This window comes from Homo sapiens, chromosome 15 (genome assembly GCF_000001405.40).
Source record: "Homo sapiens chromosome 15, GRCh38.p14 Primary Assembly".
Classification (NCBI taxonomy): domain Eukaryota; kingdom Metazoa; phylum Chordata; class Mammalia; order Primates; family Hominidae; genus Homo; species Homo sapiens.
Window position 1 is genome coordinate 31,369,828 of NC_000015.10, and position 22,770 is coordinate 31,392,597.

The window sequence follows — 22,770 nt, forward strand, 5'->3', positions numbered from 1 at the left end:
AGTGTGACTTAGGAAAAGTCTGATGTCTATCCCAGCCTTGTTCCTTTGTGGATGACCTGGTGTTTGTTTCTTCCCCCTCTCTCTATTAAGCTGTGAGAGCTCCTGTTTTTACTCAGTGTTCTGACATTGCAGAGCTTCTCGCAGCAGAGGTCTTAACTCATTTACCTGGTCCACCTCTGTGCAGCCTGTCTCATGTTAGTTTCCTGTCTCCTTTTTCTTTTTTTTTTTTTTTTTTTTTTACTCTTTGACAGAGACTGTTCTATTATTTCTTTTGTAATTTCTTCTCCATGTTTTCTGTTTTCTCACTTGATTGTAATTGTCGTGTATTTGGGAAATCGTGGTGGCTACTTGATTTTGAATCCCCCCAACACCCTTTCCCCCAACATGTAAAATCAATAAAGAGAGCAAGTGTACCCACACACGGCCCCTGCTTCAGCAGTACCAGGAGACGGAACATCGTGACATCCACATATTTTCCAGAACTGTTTTTTGGTTCTTTTTTTCTCATATATTTGCTTTGAGTATATTTCCAGCTTTTATATGAAAGTTTTATATGCACACAATGCTGTTTTCAATTCCTAAATGCTGTTGTTTTTGCTTTTTTTTTTTGAGACAGACCCTTGCTCTCTTGCCCAGGCTGGAGTGCAGTGACACAATCTTGACTCACTGCAACCTCCACCTCCCAGGTTCAAGTGATTCTCCTGCTTCAGCCTGCCGAGTAGCTGGGATTGCAGGTGCACACCACCACACCTGGCTAATTTTTGTATTTTTAGTAGAGACGGGGTTTCACCATGTTGGCCAGGCTGGTCTCAAACCCCTGATCTCAAGTGATCCACCCGCCTCAGCCTCCCAAAGTGCTGAGATTATAGGCATGAGCCACCGCGCCTGGCCGTTTTTGCTCTCTGAACTTCTTTGTATGGTATCCTCTTTGCTTTTGCATCAAATTTCATCTCAAATTCCTCAGAGAATACTAATCAGAAATTTCAAGTTAAAATTTTCTTCTCTTTCCTGGCTTCACTCTTTTCCTCTAGAGTTGGTGGTTGCATTGCGCTTGGCCTTTCTTTTCCATGCTGCTGGTTCTCCCTGGCTGTCTGGCCATCCCTGGGTATCTGCTTGTGTTTAAGGTGGGTGGGTGAGTGGGTTTCCTCTGTTGAACATGGGTAGACCAGCTTCAGTGACTGGCAGTCACTTTAGGGTCTGTATGGGGGTGAGAGGGGATGAGACCGTGTAGGAAGGGCAGCCCTGCGGCCACCCCTAATACAAGAAGGGCTCGTTTCTGGGGTGCCAGAGCCCCCCACCCTGGTTCTTCCTGAGCAGTTGATGTCATTTTTGTGATTCAGAGTTTTGTGTGTTGAGTTTGCCTGGGTAAATGCTGGCCTGTCTCCCGCTCCGAGTGAGGGATGGGAAGGAGGGAGCAGCATCCTGACCGTAGCCAACCTTCATTACCTCCCACCCCACTGTGTTCTGCCTCCTCCCTACCGGCACAGGCCCCTATAATGGGGTGCTCTGGGTTGCTGCCCTTGTCTGTCACCACACTTGGGTCTGCAAGAGGCTGTTTCATTCTCCTGCTCTGCCAGCCGTCCCTGGTTGGTCACTTTGGGACTTTTGTGAGAGAAGGAGCAGCAGACTGGTTGTAGAATTCCAGGCCCCGGAACTCACCTACGCTGACCCTCTCATGTGACAGACTAGACTGAGGAGGGTCAGAATGGGAATTGCCTTCCTGCCCTGCAGGGGTGCAGAGTGTGGCTCCCATGGAGCAGCATGGGCGGCTGGACTCCGGGAGGCCTGTGAAGCCAGGGCATGGGCCTGCAACCCCCAGGCGTTGGAGACCACTGGCCCGGCATGGGTGTGTAGTGCAGCCTGCTTTGTGGTGTACTTAGGGGGTCCACTGCCAGGAGCCTGGGGCCCTGACCTGTACCTACCCATGGGCCCTGCAGCTTCAGCACCTGAAATGCTGTTTTATCCTAGGCCGTGTCCTCTGCCTCCATCCCAGGCGTGGGCGGGAGGGCAGGGGCCCACCTTCATCTCTGCCTTGATGGATTTGTCACAGAAGCTCTTGGAGGTGGGGCATGTGGGAGGGGTGTTGAGAGACCAGGGTGTTGGGTGTTGCGGGCCCTTCCCCAGAGAGGGTGTGAAGGCGGGGCCAGGTGCGGATACTGATGCTCTGCCCCTGTGCCCACAGGTGAGAGGCCCTTCGCCTGCAGCTGGCAGGACTGCAACAAGAAGTTCGCGCGCTCCGACGAGCTGGCGCGGCACTACCGCACACACACGGGCGAGAAGAAGTTCAGCTGCCCCATCTGCGAGAAGCGCTTCATGCGCAGCGACCACCTGACCAAGCACGCGCGCCGCCACGCCAACTTCCACCCGGGAATGCTGCAGCGGCGCGGCGGGGGCTCGCGGACCGGCTCCCTCAGCGACTACAGCCGCTCCGACGCCAGCAGCCCCACCATCAGCCCGGCCAGCTCGCCCTGAGCCCGCCACAGCCATGAGCAGCCGCTCCCACCCCCTCGTGAGTCCCTGGCCTTTCCTTTTGTAATAAGAAAGAAGAGAGAGAACTTGATGCAAAGTCCACGAAAAAACAATTTTTTTCACCTCAGGTGTCAAAGTAAATTTGTTAAAAAAACAAAAAAAACACAAAAATTTCAAAAAACACCACCCACCAAATTGCACAATAGATACACCCACAAAGTTGAGATTCAGCGTTGTTGAACCCCCTTTCTCAGGGATGGACACGTTTCACGAGGTCAGTGAGGACACCCCTTCCTGCCGCCTTACTCTGTACATAGATTTGCACTCTGGAGTTTTCTGTTAGGTTCGGGAACACGCTGGGGACAGAGCAGGCCAGCCAGTCTGGTGGAGCTCAGCGTCTGGCTGGCTGGCCAGCCTGTGGGTCTGTTGGGAGCAGATGTGCTCACTGACGTTTGTGCCTCCAGGGCAGATTCCTAAGCAGCTGGCCTGACCTCTTCCTGCCCAGCCCCCAACCCAGTCTCTGGCCTCTGCCCAACGAGCCTGGCTGGGCTTGCAACGCAGCTGATTCTGAGACAGGCCCCTGCAGAGGGATGCCTTAAAGCTGTCCCTGGCTGGAGGAGCACTCCACCTTGGGGATAGTGGAGGGGGCCTTCAGCCCTCTGCACCCTGCCTGCCTCACACCCCGCCTTCAGGAGCCCTCTCCTACGGCGCTAGGGAGCACTGGAAGCAGAGATGCCAGCCCTGGCTGAGCGTAGCACTGCACCGTCCGACCTCCGAGGCAGGGGCCGGGGTCACACCTGCCAGGACTCCGCTTCTCCGTGTCCCAGCAGAAGGCATGCAGGACCCTGTCACTACTATACCTGGGCCTCTGATGGGGAATTCTGGTCTTCTAAAAAGATGTTAGAAATTCCTGGTGGCACATCCAGTTCCGAGTTTGCCCGCACGGGCACTTTTGTTGGAAACAGTGGGCAGGTCATGGGGCCTCCTCATCAGAGGGTCTGTGTGAGCGGCTGTGCATGTGGCAGCGCACCATGCTTCACAGAGACCATTCTGTAGCAAGAGACCGGAACATTGTGACTTGGACCTTTTCAGGAGTGGCGCGGATGTTACAGGAAATGCTGTCGGAGAGCGCGCATTCTATTTCCTCCGCAGGGAATGCCAGATAGAAAGTTGCGGGCAACACTTTTCTCAGACCCACCATGTCCCCAACTCAGACTTAGCAAACCTCCAGCCTCTCCGTTTCCCCTGGACTCCTCCTCCCTTTTCCTCCTGCTTCTCCTTGTCCTGCCTGGAGGCTCCAGGCCACACCCAGCTGGTGGGGCTGCTCCAGTGCCCCATCACCGGCCTTCTCCTGGCAGGAGAGGAGGAGCAGAGAGCTGGGTCCTGGGCTGGGATTCGAGCCCTGGGCGGGGGTCAGTCAAGCCGTGGTCCAGCAAACTCCTCTGCAGATGGCTGGAGTGTTGACCCAGGCTTGTGGCCCAGGTATCACCTTCCCTTCCTCCTGAGAGTTGAGGCCTGTAAATACAAGGGCCCAGGACAGAGTGTGTGCGTGCGTGTGGGTGTGTGCGCGCGTGAGCACACACGCGTGTGTTGGGGGGGGTGGGGGGATTGGGGTGGACTCAGGGTATCTTGCCAGAGATACCTGTTTTGATGAGTACCTATTTTGATGCAAAGGAACGGCCCTGGGACCTCAGAGGGCCACAGATGGGCTTCCTGGGCCTAGCGTGCCTTGGTTGTGGCCATCCTGCTTCTACTCAGCCCTGCCATGCTATGGGGTGCAGCACAAACCCAGGACCCAGGCCTAGCCACTGCCCACAGCTGATGGTCACTGTTTTGGCTGGCTCCAGAGTGGACAGGTACGCTCTGTCCACAGCAGCTGCTCAGGCACAGTATGCCGTCAGGTGCCCGCTTCTTACCACTGTGTGTCAGCTGGGATTGGCCGACAGCGTGGTGGTGACTTCTAGGTAGACCGATGGACCCTAAATTGGGCAGTGGCATTGTTTCTGCTGTGGTGGGAACTGGCAGGGAGAGGGTCACCTCCACTCTGGTTGGATGCGGAGCTGGTCCCTCTGGCTGCCATGCTGTGTTGGGGCTCTCTGACCTCCCTGCTTGCATTGGGTCTGGGAGAGAGAGTGGAATATTTGGTAGGGACCTTGACAGAAGAGAGCCCTGGGTGCTTGTGGTGCAAAGATCTTCATGCCCAGTTCCAAAGTGAGGTCCCTCCCAAAGTTGTTTTCGTGTGAGGCAGAGAAAGCCACACTCTGAATACATTTTATGTCTCAGGAATTCACATTCCAGGTTCAGGAATTTTATTCCAAAGTCCTTTGGTGCACTCACCGTCCACCGTTCCCCAAGGCAGGGAGAGGGAGTGGCCCGTCCCTGGGAGGCTGGCAAAGTGCTCTCCAGGGAGGGGTCAGACGTCCTTGTGATCTGCCCAGGGTGTCACGGAAGGAGATTTTCTAGCTCCACATCTGTCTGCACATAGGAAGGAAAAGATAGGACTCTAAACCTAGTCATCTTGGAATAAAAAGAAGAGCTGGTTTGTTTTAGAGCAGGGCGGGGGGTGGGGGAGGGAAGCGGGTGTTGGCTGTTTCCAAAGAGAGCACTTAATTTAATTTTTCCTTTAAATGACCCAGGGCTGTTCCGTCTGATAGATGGAAGGGTAACATTGCCTTAAAACAGAAATATGCAGGCGTTGGCTATTTTTGGCATAAGAGCGTGTCTTCATTCCCAAAGTGGTTCTCGTTTAATGGCAGGGTGCGGTCCTTAGGCCCCGGCCTGGACTGGGAAATGGGGGTAGGGCACCAGGAGAGAAATCCTCCTGGGTACTCCTGGCCAGACCCTCCTGAATCATCTGCGGCTTAAACTCATCTCGCTTGAAGGGCAGGGAGAAACCCATGAATCTCAGGCACGGTTCACAGGGGTCCTCAAGGGCAGGTTTCCATTTCATCATGAAGTGAGGGACTCCTGTGGAAGAGGGTGGTGGGCCTTGGAACGCTGCCTCCACTGAGGCGGGCACACAAGGCGGACCCTCCTGAAACAGCCTCCATTTTCTTCAAACATGCAGAATGTTTTCCCAGACTGCGTCTATTTCAGGGTCTTCCATTTTTGTGGTTTATGGCCATGCTTGCCAGTTTTGGTGGGGTTGAGGAACCCATAGGACTCATAGAAATAATAGTGAAAACTCAAACCCTTATTTTGGGACTTCAGTTCTCGTGGTCCATAGGGGCAGAGATGTCAAAGTGAAGGTTGCCTGAGTGAAGGGAGAGTTCCCCTATAAAAGGCCTAAAATTGATCTGGGGCTCAGCCATCAAGGGGCTGGTGTTGCTCCTGTCCCAGACAAGGAAGCCCCTCTTTACATCAGCCATATTAGGGGAACGGTTGTCAGCTCCCCAAATGCCTACTGGATCCTACAGCCATACAGGAAAACAGACGGACACAGCCCTTTCCTTAAAGAGCCCTGGGGTCCTGTCCTGCAGGATGCTGCATAGGAATGGGCAGAGATGTCCTGGATGGGAACATGGTCCTGGAGGTGCCCTACCTGCATCCTGCTGCACCCCCACCCACGACACTCGAGTGCAAGATCGCCTCACTCCTAACCCTGACTTTATTCCCAGGCCCCACACCGAGGCAGGTGCAGGATTCGCCATGGTGCAGCCTCCGGGTACAAACATCTGAGGCACTGGCGATCCCAGTCCTTGCAGCACCCTGAACACAGCTCAGACCAGTGAGGGGTGATTCAGAGGTGGGGATGGGCAGAGAGGGCTGGCCACTCTGCCTCAGGACTTGACCTCAAGTGTTCTGTCTCCCCACCCGGTGTGTCCAGAAGACCAGCCTCTTTCTTGCCAGAAGCAGGTGCTAAGATGGACTGCACAGGGTCCCGGCACTCCCTCGGGACCCATTCAGGATCTCAGCTGGGCAGGGGTGCCACCCAACAGGAAGATGTGATCTGAGCAATAGTGTGGCCTTGTTTCTCCGCTTCTGGTTGTGGCTGTGTGTACAGGGCTACCTATTTTGACTTCTGACAGGTGTCACTGATTTTCTTTCCCCCATTTAAAAAAGGTCATTTAGTCAAAGACACAGTGCTAGAGGTTTAAAGGGTGTAATGTGTTGGTCACATCACAACCAGTAAGAAACGCTTGGTAGGTTATCCACATCTTTTGCTGACTGTTTCCATATACAATTCTGGTCACCATATTTTCCAAAGCTAAAATCTGAGGCGTGGGCTGATGGTTTTTGAAATCAGGATTACCCCAGGAAGAACCAGGTCCTATTACTAATTTTCCTGATTCTGAGGCTCTGAAGGCTTGTCTGAGACACATTCCGGAGACCTTTGTACCAGAACTTGGATGCATAGTCCACCTTACTACTGATACACGCCTGAGCACCCTTTAGGGCGAGGCGCCGCCTCCTGCCTGCTGTCCTGTCCCTCAGCATCAGAAGAGTTGAATTCAGCAGGAGACGGGAGCCCGGTGTCCATGAGGGAAGAGGGGTCGCGCTTGGTTTCTACTGACCCCCATGAAGATTTCAGACTTGCAGTGCGGCCACCTGGCCCTGCCCTGCCTCTCTCTTTCTCATACAGCTTTAAAACTTTACTACTTTTATTTAAAAATGAACTGGATGGGAGAGAAGTAGCGTCCCCTACCCTACAAGTCACACATTCCGGGGAGGGGGGTGGGGGGTGGAGGCAGGAAGTCATGGGGGTGGGGGTGGGAGCACGGGAACAGCTTTCTTAAGGCCTCAGGGTCCTGTTTTCCCTGGCCTCTTCTAGAGGGCCCGTGGACAGGTCGCAGTGCGTGCTTATTTGGAAACCAGGTGTGTGAGCCGAATGCCTGCCAGGCCATGCACTCAGCAGAGGAGCCCTTGTACCTGGCTGCCCTGAGAGGAGCAAGAGGCCACCTCCCATGTGGCTCTAGACACCACGTGGGCTCATTAGCCCCAGCGTCTGTGCCGGCTCCAGGTGCCTGCCTCTGGGTGTGTGAGTGGGAGACTTTGCTCCCTGGCCTCATCCTAGAGAGGCCCCTGGTGCCTAGTGCTGAGGCCTCTGGGGCTGGAAAGCCTCAGCAGAAAGGAGGCACTACTGAGCAACTATGCATTGTCATTGTCGGGTTTGGGGCTTTCGGTGGTTCCTTGGTGACTGGGAATTGCTTGTGTGCATGTGTTGGGTGCATGCTTCCGGGTCTCAGCTGCCCCAGGCCCGCACAGGCAACCCCTTCCCATCCAAAGCCATTGGTGGAGCTTCTCTGGAATCATTTGCCAAAAGCCCAAGGCAGAATCCAAGGGTCCAAGACCATTTCCATGGAGCTCATGTTTTTCTTTTCTGTAGGAACTTTTTTTTAACCAGCACCCACCATAATTCCGAAGGCCACGTTTCATCTTTCCTGGATCACTACAGTGAAGTATTACAGTTGTACAGTTCCCAGTCTGGCCTTGGCTTGCTCGGATAAAACTTTGTATGTATTTTGTATGGCATAGATTCTATATTGTAATGATGTCCTATGCAAAAAGAAAAATTAACGAAATTGTAAATTTTATTGTTTTAACGTGTATGCATGTTTAGTGACGTTTACATTTTGAAATAAAATTTATGATTCATTATTTTATTTGCTGGAGCTAGTTTCTTTGAAGAGCATGTCTTGCAGAGGCTCCGGGAGGGGAGGGGAACTGAAATGCACAAACTCAAGCAGTTGCAATTGACTGAGGGACTGAAGCTTGCCTGGAACTTGGCGGGTCCTATTTTGGAAGGAAGGCTTTGCAGAAGAGCTCTTGCACACAGTGGGTGCTCTTCTGGCTTCCCCTCCTGCCCATGGGAAGCTATTTCAGCTCTTCACATTCCCACCCCTCCGTCCATCCGAAAGAGCACGGAGGAGAACGGGATGTGGTGATGGCAGATTCCCTCAAAGGGCACAGCACCTTTCCCTCAAAGTCCCCCCAAAACACCTGGACTTCCTTTTCCTGGGCAGCAGCCACCGCTTCTTTCAACCCCAGATGCGCTGCTTGCCTCACCCCTCAGCCTAGAGTCTAGAAAACTCCCCTGTTTCTAGCTACCAAAGTTCCTACAACCTACCACGGGCACTGACCCCAAAGTGTGCTCCAGCGAGGACGAGTCCCAGGACACTGGGAGTCTGGGGAGTAGGAAGGCAGGTGTTGATAGCAGAGCCCGTTTAAGTCCCCAATGAACACTAACTGCCCCTGGCTGTCCCCAGGGCAGATGATGTCCTCATCGGAGGCAGTGGGAAGCTGGCAGCTAGTGGAGGAGGTGGCTGCTGGGGTGGAGGTCTGGCCCGAACCCTGTTCTAGCCACAGCATGTAGAAGGGAGGTGCTGGTGCAGCCACATCTCAGCCTCACCCAGGGGTAGACCAGCGCTGCATCTGGGCTGTACACTGTTCATACATGACTACCTGTTCTTTTTCTTTTTTTTGAGACACAGTCTCGCTGTGTAGCCCCACTCGTTGCTGTCGCCGAGGCTGGAGTGCAATGGTGGCAATCTCAGCTCACTGCAACCTCTGCCTCTCAGGTTCGAACGATTCTTCTGCCTCAGCTTCCTGAGTAGCTGGGATTACAGATGTCTGCCACCACGCCCAGGTAATTTTTGTATTTTTAGTAGAGACGAGGTTTCACCATATTGGCCAGGCTGGTCTCAAACCCTTGACCTCAGGTGATCCACTGGCTCAGCCTCCCAAAGTGCTGGGGATTACAGGATTGAGCCACCATACCAGGCCTGTGATTACCTGTTCATAGGGTAAATGAAAACCACCACAAAATGTGAAGTGTTACTAACAAATACAGGCATCGCAGTTGATTAGACATGGTTTTTCCTGAAGCTACCCTGACACCAGCTGGCATTGCCTGATGAACGTTTGTTTTCTGTATCATAGACTGGGGGGAGGGAGGCGTGAAATGAATGCACCCAGGCACATACTGAACAGTCATAAAAACAAGCACACATTTTTCAAACAAAGTCTTTTTGGTACTGAGACGTTTGGAGCCCATTCTTGGTTGGAGTATTTTCCCAGGACAGCCACTGCTCCGCCTTCTCAGAGCCATTTATTGCTCAGTAACTTCCCCAGATAGCAGCAACTGCAGGGTGGATCCGCTTCCATAAATAGTTGTCAGAGGATCCCAGATGCTTAAAAAATATTGACAGGAAAAAAAAAAAGCCTGTCAGTTATGTCACTGCTGAGATTTGAAACCCCTCCTGGTATTTCTTTCCAGAAGACTGGGGGACCCACCATTCATGGAGCCCCCATCCCAGGAATGAGGGGTCTCCTAAGGCCTTCAGAGGCCCCCGGTAATGGAGAAAAAAAGCAAGCAATAGATTTTCCCGGCTTTTGAAGAACAAATGTATGAGTGTCTCTGGCATGCGTGTAGCACATTTTCTTCTCACGCTTTCTTTTTGGACCAGGTCACAAAGCAGTTTCGGGTGGCGGAGAGGGTCTGTGGCTGACAGGTCCTCTGTGCTGAGCAGAGATGACAGTGTCCTGGAGGCAGGCCTGAGAGGCCAGCCTCAGGACACTCCTGGACCTGACCCTTTTTCCATATTTCTCAGGACTTGGATTAGAAGTCAGGTTTGTGGCAGTTAGGCGAAGTGCTGTGTCTGGCTGCATAGTGACCCAGGTGAGGGGAAGCATCTGGTGGAGGGCGGAGGTGCACTCCCTAAGAGGGCCAAGCCTGGCAAAGGCTCACAGTGACATCTGCCCCTCTAAAGAAGGACTTCTGGCCGCGCGCAGTGGTTCACGCCTGTAATCCCAGCACTCTGGGGGGCCGAGGAAGGCAGATCACCTAAGGTCAGGATTTCGAGTTCAAGACTAGCCTGACCAACATGGAGAAACCCTGTCTCTACTAAAAATTCAAAAATGTGGCTTGTGCCTGTAGTCCCAGCTACTTGGGAGGCTGAGGCAGGAGAATCGTTTGAACCCGGGAGGCAGAGGTTGCAGTGAGCCGAGATCACGCAACTGCACTTCAGCATGGACAACAAGAGCGAAACTCTGTCTCAAAAACAAATAAATTAATAAAGAAGGACTTCCCATTCCTTGGTGCTGGCCTGTAGGCAGTGAGCACCCTGTCGCTGGAGGCATTCAAGCAGGGGCTGAAACACTGCTTGCCAGGAATTCCATGAAGGGACTGGTGTTCTGGAAGGGGGCCCAGTTAGCGTTCAGAGGAAGGGCCACAGTGTTTTCCAAGTGGACTCACTGGGGTGTAATCATCAAGACCCTCTGACACTTTCTCCTAGCCTTGTTGGTCATGTTGGGGTGTGGACTGGCCTTTTCTGGGTTGGGTTTGGCTGCAGAAGGTCTTGAATAACAGACTAGGCGATGTGTAGCTTATTCTGGGGACATGGGTGGCTCAATTACCCCCAATCAAACCTCATCTAGGCCATGCTAAAATTCCTGCCATTGGCACCACTCCTAAAAAGTCTCCTACGTGGAAAGCAGTAAAGACATGCAGCTACTCCTGGCAGGGCTGCTATCTCTGCACCAACTTTCCTCCACCGTTACGCATCAGAGACCAGCATTCCAATGGTACATAGGACAGGCAGGTTTGTACAGAAGACAGTGTTGGAAACACAAGGCCTGTATTAATTGCCAGTTGCTGGCTGGGCACAGTGGCTTATGCCTGTAATCCCAGCATTCTGGAAGGCCAAGGCAGGCAGATCACGAGGTCAGGAGTTTGAGACCAGCCTGGCTAACATCATGAAACCCCATCCCCACTAAAAATACAAAAATTAGCCGGGCATGGTGGCGGGTGCCTGTAATCCCAGCTACTCGGGAGGCTGAGGCAGGAGAACGGCTTGAACCCGGGAGCTGGAAGTTGCAGTGAGCGAAGATCGCGCCATTGCACTCCTGCCTGGGCGACAGTGCAAGACTCTGTCTCAAAAAAAAAAAAAAAATAGAATGCCTATTCCTGCTGTAACAAATTACCATAAGCAGTGGCTTAAAGCAACACAAATTTATTCTTTTATTCTCTTGCAGCTCTGGAGGTCAGAAGTGCAAAACAAGTCTTACAGGGCTAAAATCCAGGTGTCATCAGGGCTGCTTCCTTCTGGAGTCTTGTTTTCCTTCCCAGCTTGTAGAGGCCACCTACGTTCCTTGGCTTGTGGCCTCCTCCACTGTCTTCAAATCCATCAGAGTAGCGTCTCCTCTCTGACCTCCTAATCTCCCTCTTATAAGGACCTCTGTGATTACCCTGTGCGGCTGAGATGTGGCTGCACATCAGGCTGCCCCCAACCCTGAACTAGTCCAGGATGAGCCCCCCATCCACCCCAGCCTTCATGTCCTTCCTGCACTCCCCTGAGCTGCAGGGAGCAAAGTGGCAGCTTAGGCTGCAGGGCTTGATGAACTCCTGCCTAGTGGAAGGAGCCTGCATCCCACTCTCCATGACCCAAGCAAATTCACAAAACATAGTTGAATTAAACTGGACTGAGCATCTCTTCCACCTGTGTTTTGTCATCCTTCATAGTATTCCCTATCAACTATTCAGCTTTAAAAAGTAGGAGTAATAGTAAAAATAATTGTCACTTCACTACAGTTCTTAAAAGCCGATCAGTTCTTGAAGACCTGCACCCCAGTTCACCTGCTGCTGCCTGCACAGCCGTTGCTCAGGGCGGAGAAAGGTCTGGTGTCTCCGTGCCAGACGCAGCTGGGCCTTCAGCTCTGAGCAGCCTGCCACGCAGCTGTGGAAAGAAGTCTTTTCCTGAGCCTTGCCTTCACCTGGGAAGCAAGCTTGGCATGGTCTGTGTGGGGTCATGGTGAAGTTCCCAGTGGTGTGCGAGATGTCAGATGCTGGGAACTGTACCCATGCCAGATACTCAGGCCCCCAGGCCAGGCCTCCACTCTCACATGCCACTGGGAAATGATCCCTGTGGACAGAGACTGGGACTGACCTGGGACACAGAGGAAGGCTGTCCCACATTGCACTCCCTGTCCCAGAGGCCTGCCGGGCAGCAGCCACTTGCCCAGATCCTGGGCCAGAGGGTTGCTTGCTGAGCTGTACCCTCTGAGCACTCTCAGAGGGAGGGAGGTGTGAGTAGTCCCAACTTAGGGCTGCAGAGGGTACGAGGCTCAGAGGGTTGAAGTGGCCTTCTCAAGGTCACACAGCTGGCAAAAGTCACGGAGGGACCCTGGTCTGATTGGACCACTGGCCACAGCTGCCTTTTAAGCTCTGAGTTCTAAAGGCTTCTAACCTGTCTAGGGGTACCTTTGTCTATTCTCTGGCATTGTGGGACAGGCCCAGAAGAGTGACAGGCCCCATGACACAGGGCTGGTGACTTAGCATTTTTCTGGCTGCTGCATTTCTGGGGCCTGAACACTGGCCAGTGTGGGCCTGCACCTGGCAGCTCAGTGTGTCCAATGCAATGTCCTCTAAAAAGATGAGCAAGCTGCCCTCAGGGGGGCCCAGTCCCAGGCACTGTGAGGTTCAGACCTCCCTTCAGGGCCCACCAAGCAACCAGGCAAAGCCCTTTCCCCTGCATAGCTGTGACTCCCTGTGCCCAGGCTGCCAATGTGTCTAGGTACCGCGTCCACTCACTCAGACCTCTTGGAACTCAGAGACAGACAGTACAAAGTCGTGACGGGCGTTGCCCTCATTTACAAGCACATGATAGGCCCAAGGAGCTCAGTCTGGGTGTCCTGACCCCAGCTCCAGGGCTCATTCTTGACCCCTGCCCCATCATAATGTCTTCCATTCCCAACCTCACAATTAGGTAATCATTTACTTATGAATGGGCCAGGGGACCAGGGAGAATCAACAGTAAATATCAAGATGGCCTGCATAATCAGCAGACTTCCTCTGCACCTCCTAAGAGGGGTCCTCATCTCAACACCAGCAACACAAGGTGTTTTGGGAAAGTGGTTATTGCATGCTTACCCTGATGAACACAGCTGCTCCCTGTCTCTTGTCTGTCTCCTGCTCTTTTAACCATAAACACACTCCAGTGGGTTTTCTGAGATCGACTGTTGGCCTGTGGGGGCGGAACATGCTCAGAGCAGGGAGGATGGCCTCCTTCCCGGGCTCTGCAGTGCTCTCCCACCGTGGCCCAGTGGACTTTGTACATGAACCTTCCACTTTGGGAAGACCAGCTACTAGTTTGTGGAACCTGGATTACAATGGAAACACAAACTCTAAATCCAAGAGAACAGGTGCCTCTGCAGTGAGGGTCACAGGGCCAGGAGAGGCACACATAGGAGTGTCAGCGATGATGACAGCCTAGTGCTGAGGACAGGGTCGCACTCACACTTTCATTACATATGTTCTTGTGAATGCAGCGAATGTCACATAAGAACAACATTAAAAGAAAGTTATCTGTTAAAAATATCAAGATGGGCCGGGCGCGGTGGCTCACGCCTATAATCCCAGCACTTTGGGAGGCCAAGGCGGGCAGATCACGAGGTCAGGAGATCGAGACCATCCTGGCTAACACGGTGAAACCCCGTTTCTACTAAAAATGCAAAAAAAATTAGCTGGGCGTGGTGGTGGGCGCCTGTAGTCCCAGCTACTCGGGAGGCTGAGGCAGGAGAATGGTGTGAACCTGGGAGGCAGAGCTTGCAGTGAGCCAAGATCACGCCACTGCACTCCAGCCTGGGCAACAGAGCGAGACTCCGTCTCAAAAAATAAATAAATAAATAAATAAAATAAAATAAAAATATCAAGATGTTTCGAATAGCTTAAATGTCCAGGAATAGGAGATTAATTCAATGAACCACATAACCTCCATTATGACTAATACCCAATCTATTATTAAGTGAAAGAGGTGAGGTAGGTTGCAAAACAGTACAGAAGTATGATCATGATTTATTAAAACACTTTTCTCTATAGCTATATTGTGTTTACATGTTTAAATGCATAGAAAAAGGGTAGGTAGGCCAGGTGAGGTGGCTCATGCCTGTAATCCCAGCACTTTGGAAGGCTGAGGCGGGCAGATCACCTGAGCTCAGGAGTTCAAGACCAGCCTGACCAACATGGTGAAACCTCGTCTCTACTAAAAATACAAAAATTAGCCGGGTGTGGTGCCTGTAATCCCAGCTACTCAGGAGGCTGAGGCAGGAGAATGGCTTAAACCCTGGAGGTGGAGGTTGCAGTGAGCCGAGATCACACCACTGCACTCCAACCTGGGTGAGAGTGAGGCTCCTTCTCAAAAACATAAGGACAGGTAAGAGACAGAACCAACTCAAGCAATTGTTACCTTTAGGTAGAGGACAACAGATGACTTTTATTTACTTATTTTTGTATGCTCTCTAAATTCTCAAAACTACTCAGGTATCACTTTTGTCATTAAAACTCACAATAGCACTTTTGTGAGGCTAAGAGCTTGCCAAAGGTAAGCTGGCACAGTGTGTCCCCACTTCATCCCCCAAAAGATGTCCACCAACATTCATGAGCGTACTTTTGGACATACCCCAAATGCCCTCAACATGTCCACACAAGGACAGACACGCCCAAAGGCTGTCCACACGTTGGTGCAAAGGGATGACATAGAGCTGAGTGTGTCATCCCAAAGTCACCCAAAAACCATGCTGCACCACAAAAGCAAGCTGCTAAAGGAGCACCAAACACACCAAGCAATGCCATGTGCTACTCATGCATCCATACCTGCTATGGACTGAATGTTTGTGTCCCTGCCAAACTCACGTGTTGAACTCTAACCCTCAATAGGATGGCATTAAGGAGGTAAGGCCTTGGGGAGGTGATTAGACCATGAGGGTGGATCTCATGATTTCATAATCCTCATGAATGGGATTGATCCCTTCACAAGAAGAGATGTGAGAGGGATGATCTCTCTCTCATCCACATGAGGATATAAGAAGGTGGTGGCCATCTGCAAACAAGGAGGAGAGCCCCCACCAGACGCTGGATCTGTCCGCACCTTGATATTGGACTTCCCTGCCTCTAGAACTGTGAAAAGTAAATGTTTGTTGTTTAAGTCATCCAGTCTATAGTAATTAGTTTTAGCAGCCTGAACTGATGAGTATCTATAGACCAAGAGCATGAAACCTACATGATGAAGGTTAATCCCAAAGTCAGGACAAGGTGACTGAGAGGGGCCCAAGGGGGTTGCAACATTAGATTTATTTAGGATTTACAGGTATACCTTGTTCTAGTGCACATGATTTTATTGCACTTTGCAAATATTGTGTTTTTTAGAAATTGAAGATTTGTGGCAAATCCACCTTGAACAAGTCTATTGGTGCCATTTTTCCAACAGCACATGCTCACTTTGTGTCTTGGTCACATTTTGGTATTTCTCAAAATATTTCAAACATTTTTACTATTATTACATCTATTATGGTGATCTGTGATCAGTGATCTTTGATGTTACTCTTGTAATTGGAGTGCCATGAACCACTTCCATATAAGATGGCAAATTTAATTGATAAATGTGTGTGTTCTCACTGCTCCACCAACCTGCCTTTCCCTGTCTTTCTCCCTCTCCTCAGGCCTCCCTATTCCCTAAGACACAATATCGAAATTAGGCCAATTAATAACCTTACAATTGCCTCTAAGTGTTCAAGTGAAGGGAAGAGTCACAGGTCTCTCACTTTAAATCAAAAGCTAGAAATAGTTAAGCTAGTGAGGAAGCCATGTGAGGAAGTCTCAAAAGGTGAGGTAGGCTGTGCCAAGTAGTTAGCCACATTGTGAATGCAAAGGAAATGTTCTCGAAGGAACTTAAAAGTGTTAACTCCAGTGAATGCATGAATGATACGAAAGTGAAATGGGCTTATTGCTGATATGGAGAAAGTTTCAGTGGCTTGGATAGAAGATCAAACCAGCCACAACATTCCCTTTAGTCAAAGCCTAATTCAGAGCAAGGTCCCTAACTTTCTTTCAATTCTACAAAGGCTAAGAGAAGCTACAAAGCTAGAAAAGAAAAGTTGGAAGCTAGCAGAGGTTTATTCATGAGGTTTAAAGAAAGAAAGTATTAGGCTGGGCGCAGTGGCTCATGCCTGTAATCCTAGCATTTTGGGAGACCAAGGCAGGAGGATCACCTGAGGTCAGGAGTTTGAGACCAGCCTAGCTAACACGGTGAAACCCTGTTTCTACTAAAAGTACAAAAAATTAGCTGGGCGTGGTGGCGTGCACCTGTAATCCTAGCTACTTGAAAGGCTGAAGCAGGAGAATCACTTGAATCTGGGAGGCGGAGGTTGCAGTGAGCCGAGATCGTGCCATTGCACTCCACCTTGGGCAACAAGAATGAAACTCCATCTTAAAAAAAAAGAAAAGAAAAAAGAAAGAAGGCATCTCCACAACATAAAAGTGCAAGATGAAGCAGCAAGTGCTGCTATAGAAGCTGCAGCAAGTTATCCAGAAGATCTAGCCAAGATCATTGATGAAGGTGGCTTTACTACACAACAGATTTTCAATGTAAATGAAACTGACTCTATTTGAGGAAGATCCCATCTAGGACTTTCAAAGCTAGAGATAAGTCAATGGCTGGCTTTAAAGGACAGGCTGGCTCTCTTGTTAAAGGCTAACACAGTTGATGACTTTAAGTTAAAGCCAGTGCTAATTTACCATTCGGAAAATCCTGGGACCATTAAAAATACACTAAATCTACTCTGCCTATGCTCTAGAAATGGAAGAACAAAGCCTGGATGACAGCACGTCTATTTACAGCATGGTTTACTGAATATTTTTAAGCCCACTTTGAGATCTACTGCTCAGGAAAAAAGACTCCTTTCCGATGAAACTTGAATGAATGAGGAGTTGCTTCTTATGGATGAGCAAAAACAGTGGTTTCTTGAGATGGAATCTACTCCTTGTGAAGATGCTGTGAACATTGTTGAAATGACAGCAAAGGATTTAGAATATTCCATAAACTTAGTTGATAAAGCAGTGCCAGGGTTTGAGAGGACCGACTCCAATTTTGGAGGAAGTTTTACCGTGGGTAAAATGCTATCAGCATTGCACACTACAGAGAAGTCCATCACTAAAAGACTAGTCAATTGGGTGTGGCAAACTTCATTGTTGTCTTATTTGAAGAAATTGCCACAGCCACCCAAACCTCAGCAACCACCACCCTGATCAGTCTGCAACCATCAACATTGAATCAAGACCTTCCAGCAGGAAAAAGACCAAAACTTGCTGAAGGCTTAGATGATTGTTAGCATTTGTTAGCAAAAAAAGTATTTTTAAATTAAGGTATGTACATTATTTTTATAGACAGAATGCTATTGCACACTTAATAGGCTACAGTATAGTTTAAACATAACTTTTATATGCACTGGGAAACCAAAAAATGTGTGTGACTCACTTTATTGTGATATTTGCTTTATTGCAGTGGTCTGGAACCAAACCCACAATATCTTTGAGGTCTGCCTGTACGAGAACTGGGTGGTGGGAAAAGTGGGGCTTGTTTTTCCTTTCTTTGTATTCACTGTAGGTGTGAAATGTTTGACAATTTGACAGTCTGTGACATGGTTCACAGATGTGGTTCCTGCATGTTATCAGGGCTTGGCCAGGTTCAGGCAGGCCTGCAGGCTGTCCCTACAACGGGCAGATTGAAGTGTGCACAGATGTCCGTGACAGGGCTGTGACCAGCCTGTGATCAGGCTGTGACCAGGTTGCTGCCTGGACCAGGCAGAGCTTTGTCCCATAATAGGGGTGCTGCCAGGGAGTCTGGCACCTGGAGCACAGCCACTGGCTTGGACATGAGCCATCAAACAGCATGGAATAAAAATAGAACTGCTTCAGCCGGAGAGGAGACAGGCTGAGCTCCTTGCTGGGAGGCCTTTAAAACAAGAACAGGTTTCATTGATCTGAGACTAGGTAAGGATGCTGCCACGAGTCAGGAAGGAGTCGAAGTCATCTGTCCTGGTACCTGGAAGTGCCTGAACATGATGGGCCTGGGTGGTTATTATTCTTCTCATCAGCTGGCACTGTAACTTTAGGTAAGCATTAGAAACTGTTTGTTTGTTTGATTGTTTGTTTGTTTTCCCTTCATGTCTAGGGTATAGAATGCATGCTCTGTGTACAGTTGGTGACAGTTGTAAAACTGAGAAAGTGCCAGTGAAAATGATTTTAAAAATGAAACAGAAAGGCTGGGTGTGGTGGCTCACGCCTGTAATCCCAGCACTTTGGGAGGCTGAGGAGGGCAGATCACCTGAGGTCAGGAGTTCAAGACCAGCCTGACCAACATGGAGAAACCCTGTCTCTCCATGTAAAAATACAAAATTAGCCGGGTGCGGTGGTGCGTGCCTATAATCCCTCTCAGCTACTCAGGAGGCTGAGGCAGGAGAATCGCTTGAACCCAGGAGGTGGAGGTTGCGGTGAGCCAAGATTTCAGCCTGAGTGACAAGAGCGAAACTCTGTCTCAAAAAAAAAAAAAAAAAGAAAAAGAAAACCAGTAAAATATGTTTATTTTATGGAGTATTGAGTCATGATGTTCAAGGACTTTGGAAGTAATTTGATTGTTGGTTTTATTTTTAAAATTCAGGAATTCTAATCATACATACGAACAAGGTTAAAAAATCCCAAAAAAAAAAAAAAAAAAAAACTAATGATAAGAATGTCTCTTTACCCATTCCCCCCACACACACCAGTTCTACCACCTTGGGATTAAACTTTTTTTTTTTTTTTAGGGGACTAAACTTTTTATCGCTTCTGTTTTTAATTTGTTTTTGTCGTTATTCCCTTCAGTGTTAATAAAATACTTGTCCTCCTACTTTGTGATTTATGAGTATTTGACAAAATACACTGGCTTCCTAATATGAAAGATGAATACCGTTGACCATTGAACAACATGGGTTTGAACTGCGTGGGTCCACTTCCATGTAAATTTTCTCTTGCCTCTGCCACCCCTGAGACAGCAAGATCAGCTTCTCCTCTTTCTTCTCCTCCTCAGCCTACTCAACATGAAGACAATGAGAATGAACGAACACCTTTATAATGATCCACTTCTACTTAATGAATACTAAATATATTCTTTCTTATAATTATTTTCTTAATAACATTTTCTTTTCTCTAGCTTACCATATTGTAAGAATGCAGAATATATCTCACATACAAAAGATGTGTTAATTATCTGTTCATGTGATCAGCAAGGCTTCTTCTCGTCAACAGGCTATCAGTAGTTAAATTTTTGAGGAGTCAAAAGTTTTATGTGGATTCTTGACTCAATGGGGGAGGGGATCAACGGTCCCAACCCCTATGTTGTTCAAGCATCAACTGTAATTACCTCCAGTCCCCTCTACCCTCTGCACCTTCTCCCTCCTCCCCCTGTGTTTACATTAGAGGAGTGTTTTAACTCTTCTGCAGATTCTCTCTGAAACTTTACATTAGCTCTTACTCCCCTATATTTACTACCATACCTTTGGTCTGCATCTTGACTCCCCTTCATGGAAGGTGGGAGTAGGATGGCCTCTGCTATCCACTCTCTCTAGGTCCCACAACACCATCCTCCTCAGCCTTTACTTTTGCAGCTTAGTCTATAGTAAAAGTGGAGCCCAGTGGATTCGAACTGCAACAGTGGGAGCCTCTACACCCCTAGGCAGTTGGGCATGTCACTGTTACATGTTACTCACTGCACAGCTAACCGCTGGGCCAGGGGCACATTTCTTTCTCTATGGGCCTAAAGTCATCAACACCACCACCACCGTCTCCAACCACACAAGGAAGATATTCTTAGCATCCAGAGCAAATGGGGCGAACTCATTTTGCCTTCCCTCAGGAACTGAAAATCCTATCCTATGTTAGTTTGCTTTACAGTGGAAGTTGAATTTTGTTATATACATTTTCCCTATAGCTTTTATTTGCCTTGCTTCCTTTTTATTAACAGAATAATATTAATAACAGAATAATAATGTGCCTTTGATGTGGCCTCAGTTTTGCCACCCTTTTATTCTCAAGACCTCCCCTGCCCTCTCCTACCCCATGGATCCGCACCCCCACTCCTTGTCCCTGAGTGGGAGCACAGCCCCGGACTCCCTTTACCACCCTCTGGTGGATCACTCAAGAGTCAATCCCAGGTCTTTCTCTTAGCTTTCTTTCTCACTTTGCTGGAATACATCCTCAAGTAACTATCCAAGAAAGGATGCATGGGACGATGGGTTTCTGCTTTTTTGAGTCCTTGGAGGTCTAACAGTATCTTTTTTCTACCCCATGCTTGATTCATAATTTGGCCTAGTATAGAAAACAAGGTTCAAAATTACTTGCCAATCATCTTCTTACAACCATTGCTACTGATGGGGATCTGATGCACTGCAGTTCTCAGCCTTTGCCGTGAACATTTTATTTTTACCATCTTCGAAATCTGTCAACCAATCTTACTCCCTGTTGCTCTGCACTTTTGTTCAGATATTTTTAGAGGCAGGTCATTTTTTCCTTGATCCTGCATTCCACGGAGCACTCCATCTGCAGACCCATGTCTCCTTAGGTCTGTTCCTTAGGTCTGCAACGCTTTCCTCTAATCTTGTATTGTTAATTGCCCTCCCTCTACATTCTTTTCTTTTGGAATTCCTATTAGTTGAAGGTGGATTTACTGAATCAGGCTTCTGTGTCCCTTATCTCTGTGTTCGGCATTATCCCTGTGTTTATTTTCCTTCTTTTCTTCTGGTCTGCTCCCTGAGCTGAAACAGGCTTCCTTACTCAAATCTCATTCATCCCCTAAGACCCAGACCACAGGTCATGTCTGGTGGGAGCCTTTCTGGCCATCCCTGTCCCCAAACAGTGTTCATGGCACTCTTGGCCATGGCATTTTGTCCTGACCCTTACTAGGCTGTTGAGTCAGGAAAGGATGTACATTCTCAACTGCATGGGGCTTCTCTATGGGGTGGAGGGCTGTGGGGACTATGGCGGGGGTGGATAATGTGGGGGAGTGTGGGGGGGCTGTGTGGGGCTGAGGGGGCTGTGAGGGTCTCTGGGGAACTCTGTAGGGCTGAGGGGGTTGTGTGGGCCTCTGGGGGTGCTCTGTGGTCCTGTGGGGGGGCTGGGTATAGGGCTGAGGAGGCTGTGGGGGTGGGTGCTGGGTGTTGGGCTGTGGGGGGCTGAAGGGGGCTGGGTGTGGAACTGTGTAGGCTGTGTGGGGCTGTGGGTGTCGGGGTTGTGGGGCTGTGCGGGGCTGAGTGCGGGGACCTGGGTGTGGGGTCTGTGGGGGCTGGGTTTGTGGGGCTGTAGGGCTGTGGAGGGGGGATCTCTGTTGGGGGGCTGTGCTCCAAATTTCCAAAACTCCACGTTTTGGAAATTCAGTGGAGTCTGCTCGCCGCATTTTAACAATGGGGGCCCTGCACCGGCCCAAGACAAGGGTCAGCTCGGGGCTGGGCCAGGAGCCCCATCTGGGGCCCCACACCCATTTCTGGGATTGCCCCCCACCCCGCCCCCGCCCCCGCCCCCGACGCTTCCGGGAGGTCTAGGCGGCTGCCGTGGGCCGGTCCGAAACGGCTCTAGGTGCACTGTTGGGGGGCTGTGTGGGGGCTCTGTAGGGGGGCTGTGGGGGGCTGTGTGGGGCTGTGTGGGCTGGGTGTTACTGCGCTCCTCAGGCAGTCAGGAGCCCTCGAGGAGTCCGCGGAGTTGGGTTGGGGGAGGCGGAGCCCGGCGGGAGGCGCTTCCCGGGCTTCCCAGGCTCTAGTAAGTTCCTGGAATTCGTGAACTGCCGGCCCGGGGGAGGATCTGTGAAGGCCCCGGGAAGGCAGAGGATTCCTGCGCGGACTGCCGCGTTCGGAGGGCAGCCGGGACGGCTGGGCCGGAGGCGGGGGAGCCCTCGGCTGGGCGGGCGCCGAGCCCGGCCGGGCCATTCACTGCCTCCGAAGCGAGCGGCCAGACCCGCCAGCTGCCCACTCGCCCCCGACCCCCGGGTCGCGGTCTCCATCCCCCTCGGACCCCGGCCAGCCCCAGGCCCTCGCGGCCGCCGCAGTACGTCGTCTCCACTTCGCAGCGCCCTCTGCCCACTGCGATTCCCCCAGCCCACGGCGAGCTCAGATGACACAAGGATGATGCTGTGGTCCGGGAGAGAACGATAAGGATTGTCACTGTGCTTTGCACTCTGTCATTCTAAGTTTCTTCTCCTCACGTGAGCTCATGTACCGCGGGCAGCGACTATCAGTGAGACTGGGGTAGACGCCACCTCTTTGGCCGCGGGCTGGGGCGCCGAGTCACGGGTCGCGGGGACGGGGCGGCGGTGCTGAGCCTCGAGCCGCCCAGGCCACGCCCCTCCTGATGTGGCCCCGCCCTGCTCTCCCAGCTCTCACCCGCGTCCTTTTCCCCCGGGTCCCCTGCGCTCCTCAGGACCCTGACGGCGCATCCTGGGTCCTCTACGCGCGCGACTGTCCCGCCCCTGAAGGGGCCTGCAGGGTGTCCACGGGACTCGGCTC

At 50.8% G+C, this 22,770-nt stretch overlaps 1 protein-coding gene across 2 annotated transcripts in view, besides 2 other annotated features; it reads left to right on the plus strand.

Moving 5' to 3' along the window:
* KLF13 (KLF transcription factor 13) overlaps positions 1-22,770 on the plus strand; it is a 108,831-nt gene that overhangs the window by 42,993 nt on the left and 43,068 nt on the right. Inside the window, exon 2 of one of the 2 annotated variants that reach the window (NM_015995.4) lies at positions 2,183-8,072. The exons of the other annotated variant lie outside the window; for it this stretch is intronic. Coding sequence (NP_057079.2) covers positions 2,183-2,472 — 290 coding nt within the window. The 3' untranslated portion in view covers positions 2,473-8,072. Of the gene's footprint in view, positions 1-2,182; positions 8,073-22,770 lie in introns of those variants that run through there. 2 annotated transcript variants of the gene reach the window in all.
* Positions 4,003-4,990: an enhancer, noted in NCBI's record as "H3K27ac-H3K4me1 hESC enhancer chr15:31666033-31667020 (GRCh37/hg19 assembly coordinates)". NCBI's record gives its function as "activates a minimal SCP1, AML or CMV promoter by ChIP-STARR-seq in primed H9 embryonic stem cells {active_cell/tissue: H9 hESC(primed)}" and the evidence as "EXISTENCE:reporter gene assay evidence [ECO:0000049][PMID:30033119]".
* Positions 22,670-22,719: a silencer, noted in NCBI's record as "silent region_6267". NCBI's record gives its function as "represses an Ori minimal core promoter by ATAC-STARR-seq in GM12878 lymphoblastoid cells {active_cell/tissue: GM12878}" and the evidence as "EXISTENCE:reporter gene assay evidence [ECO:0000049][PMID:35858748]".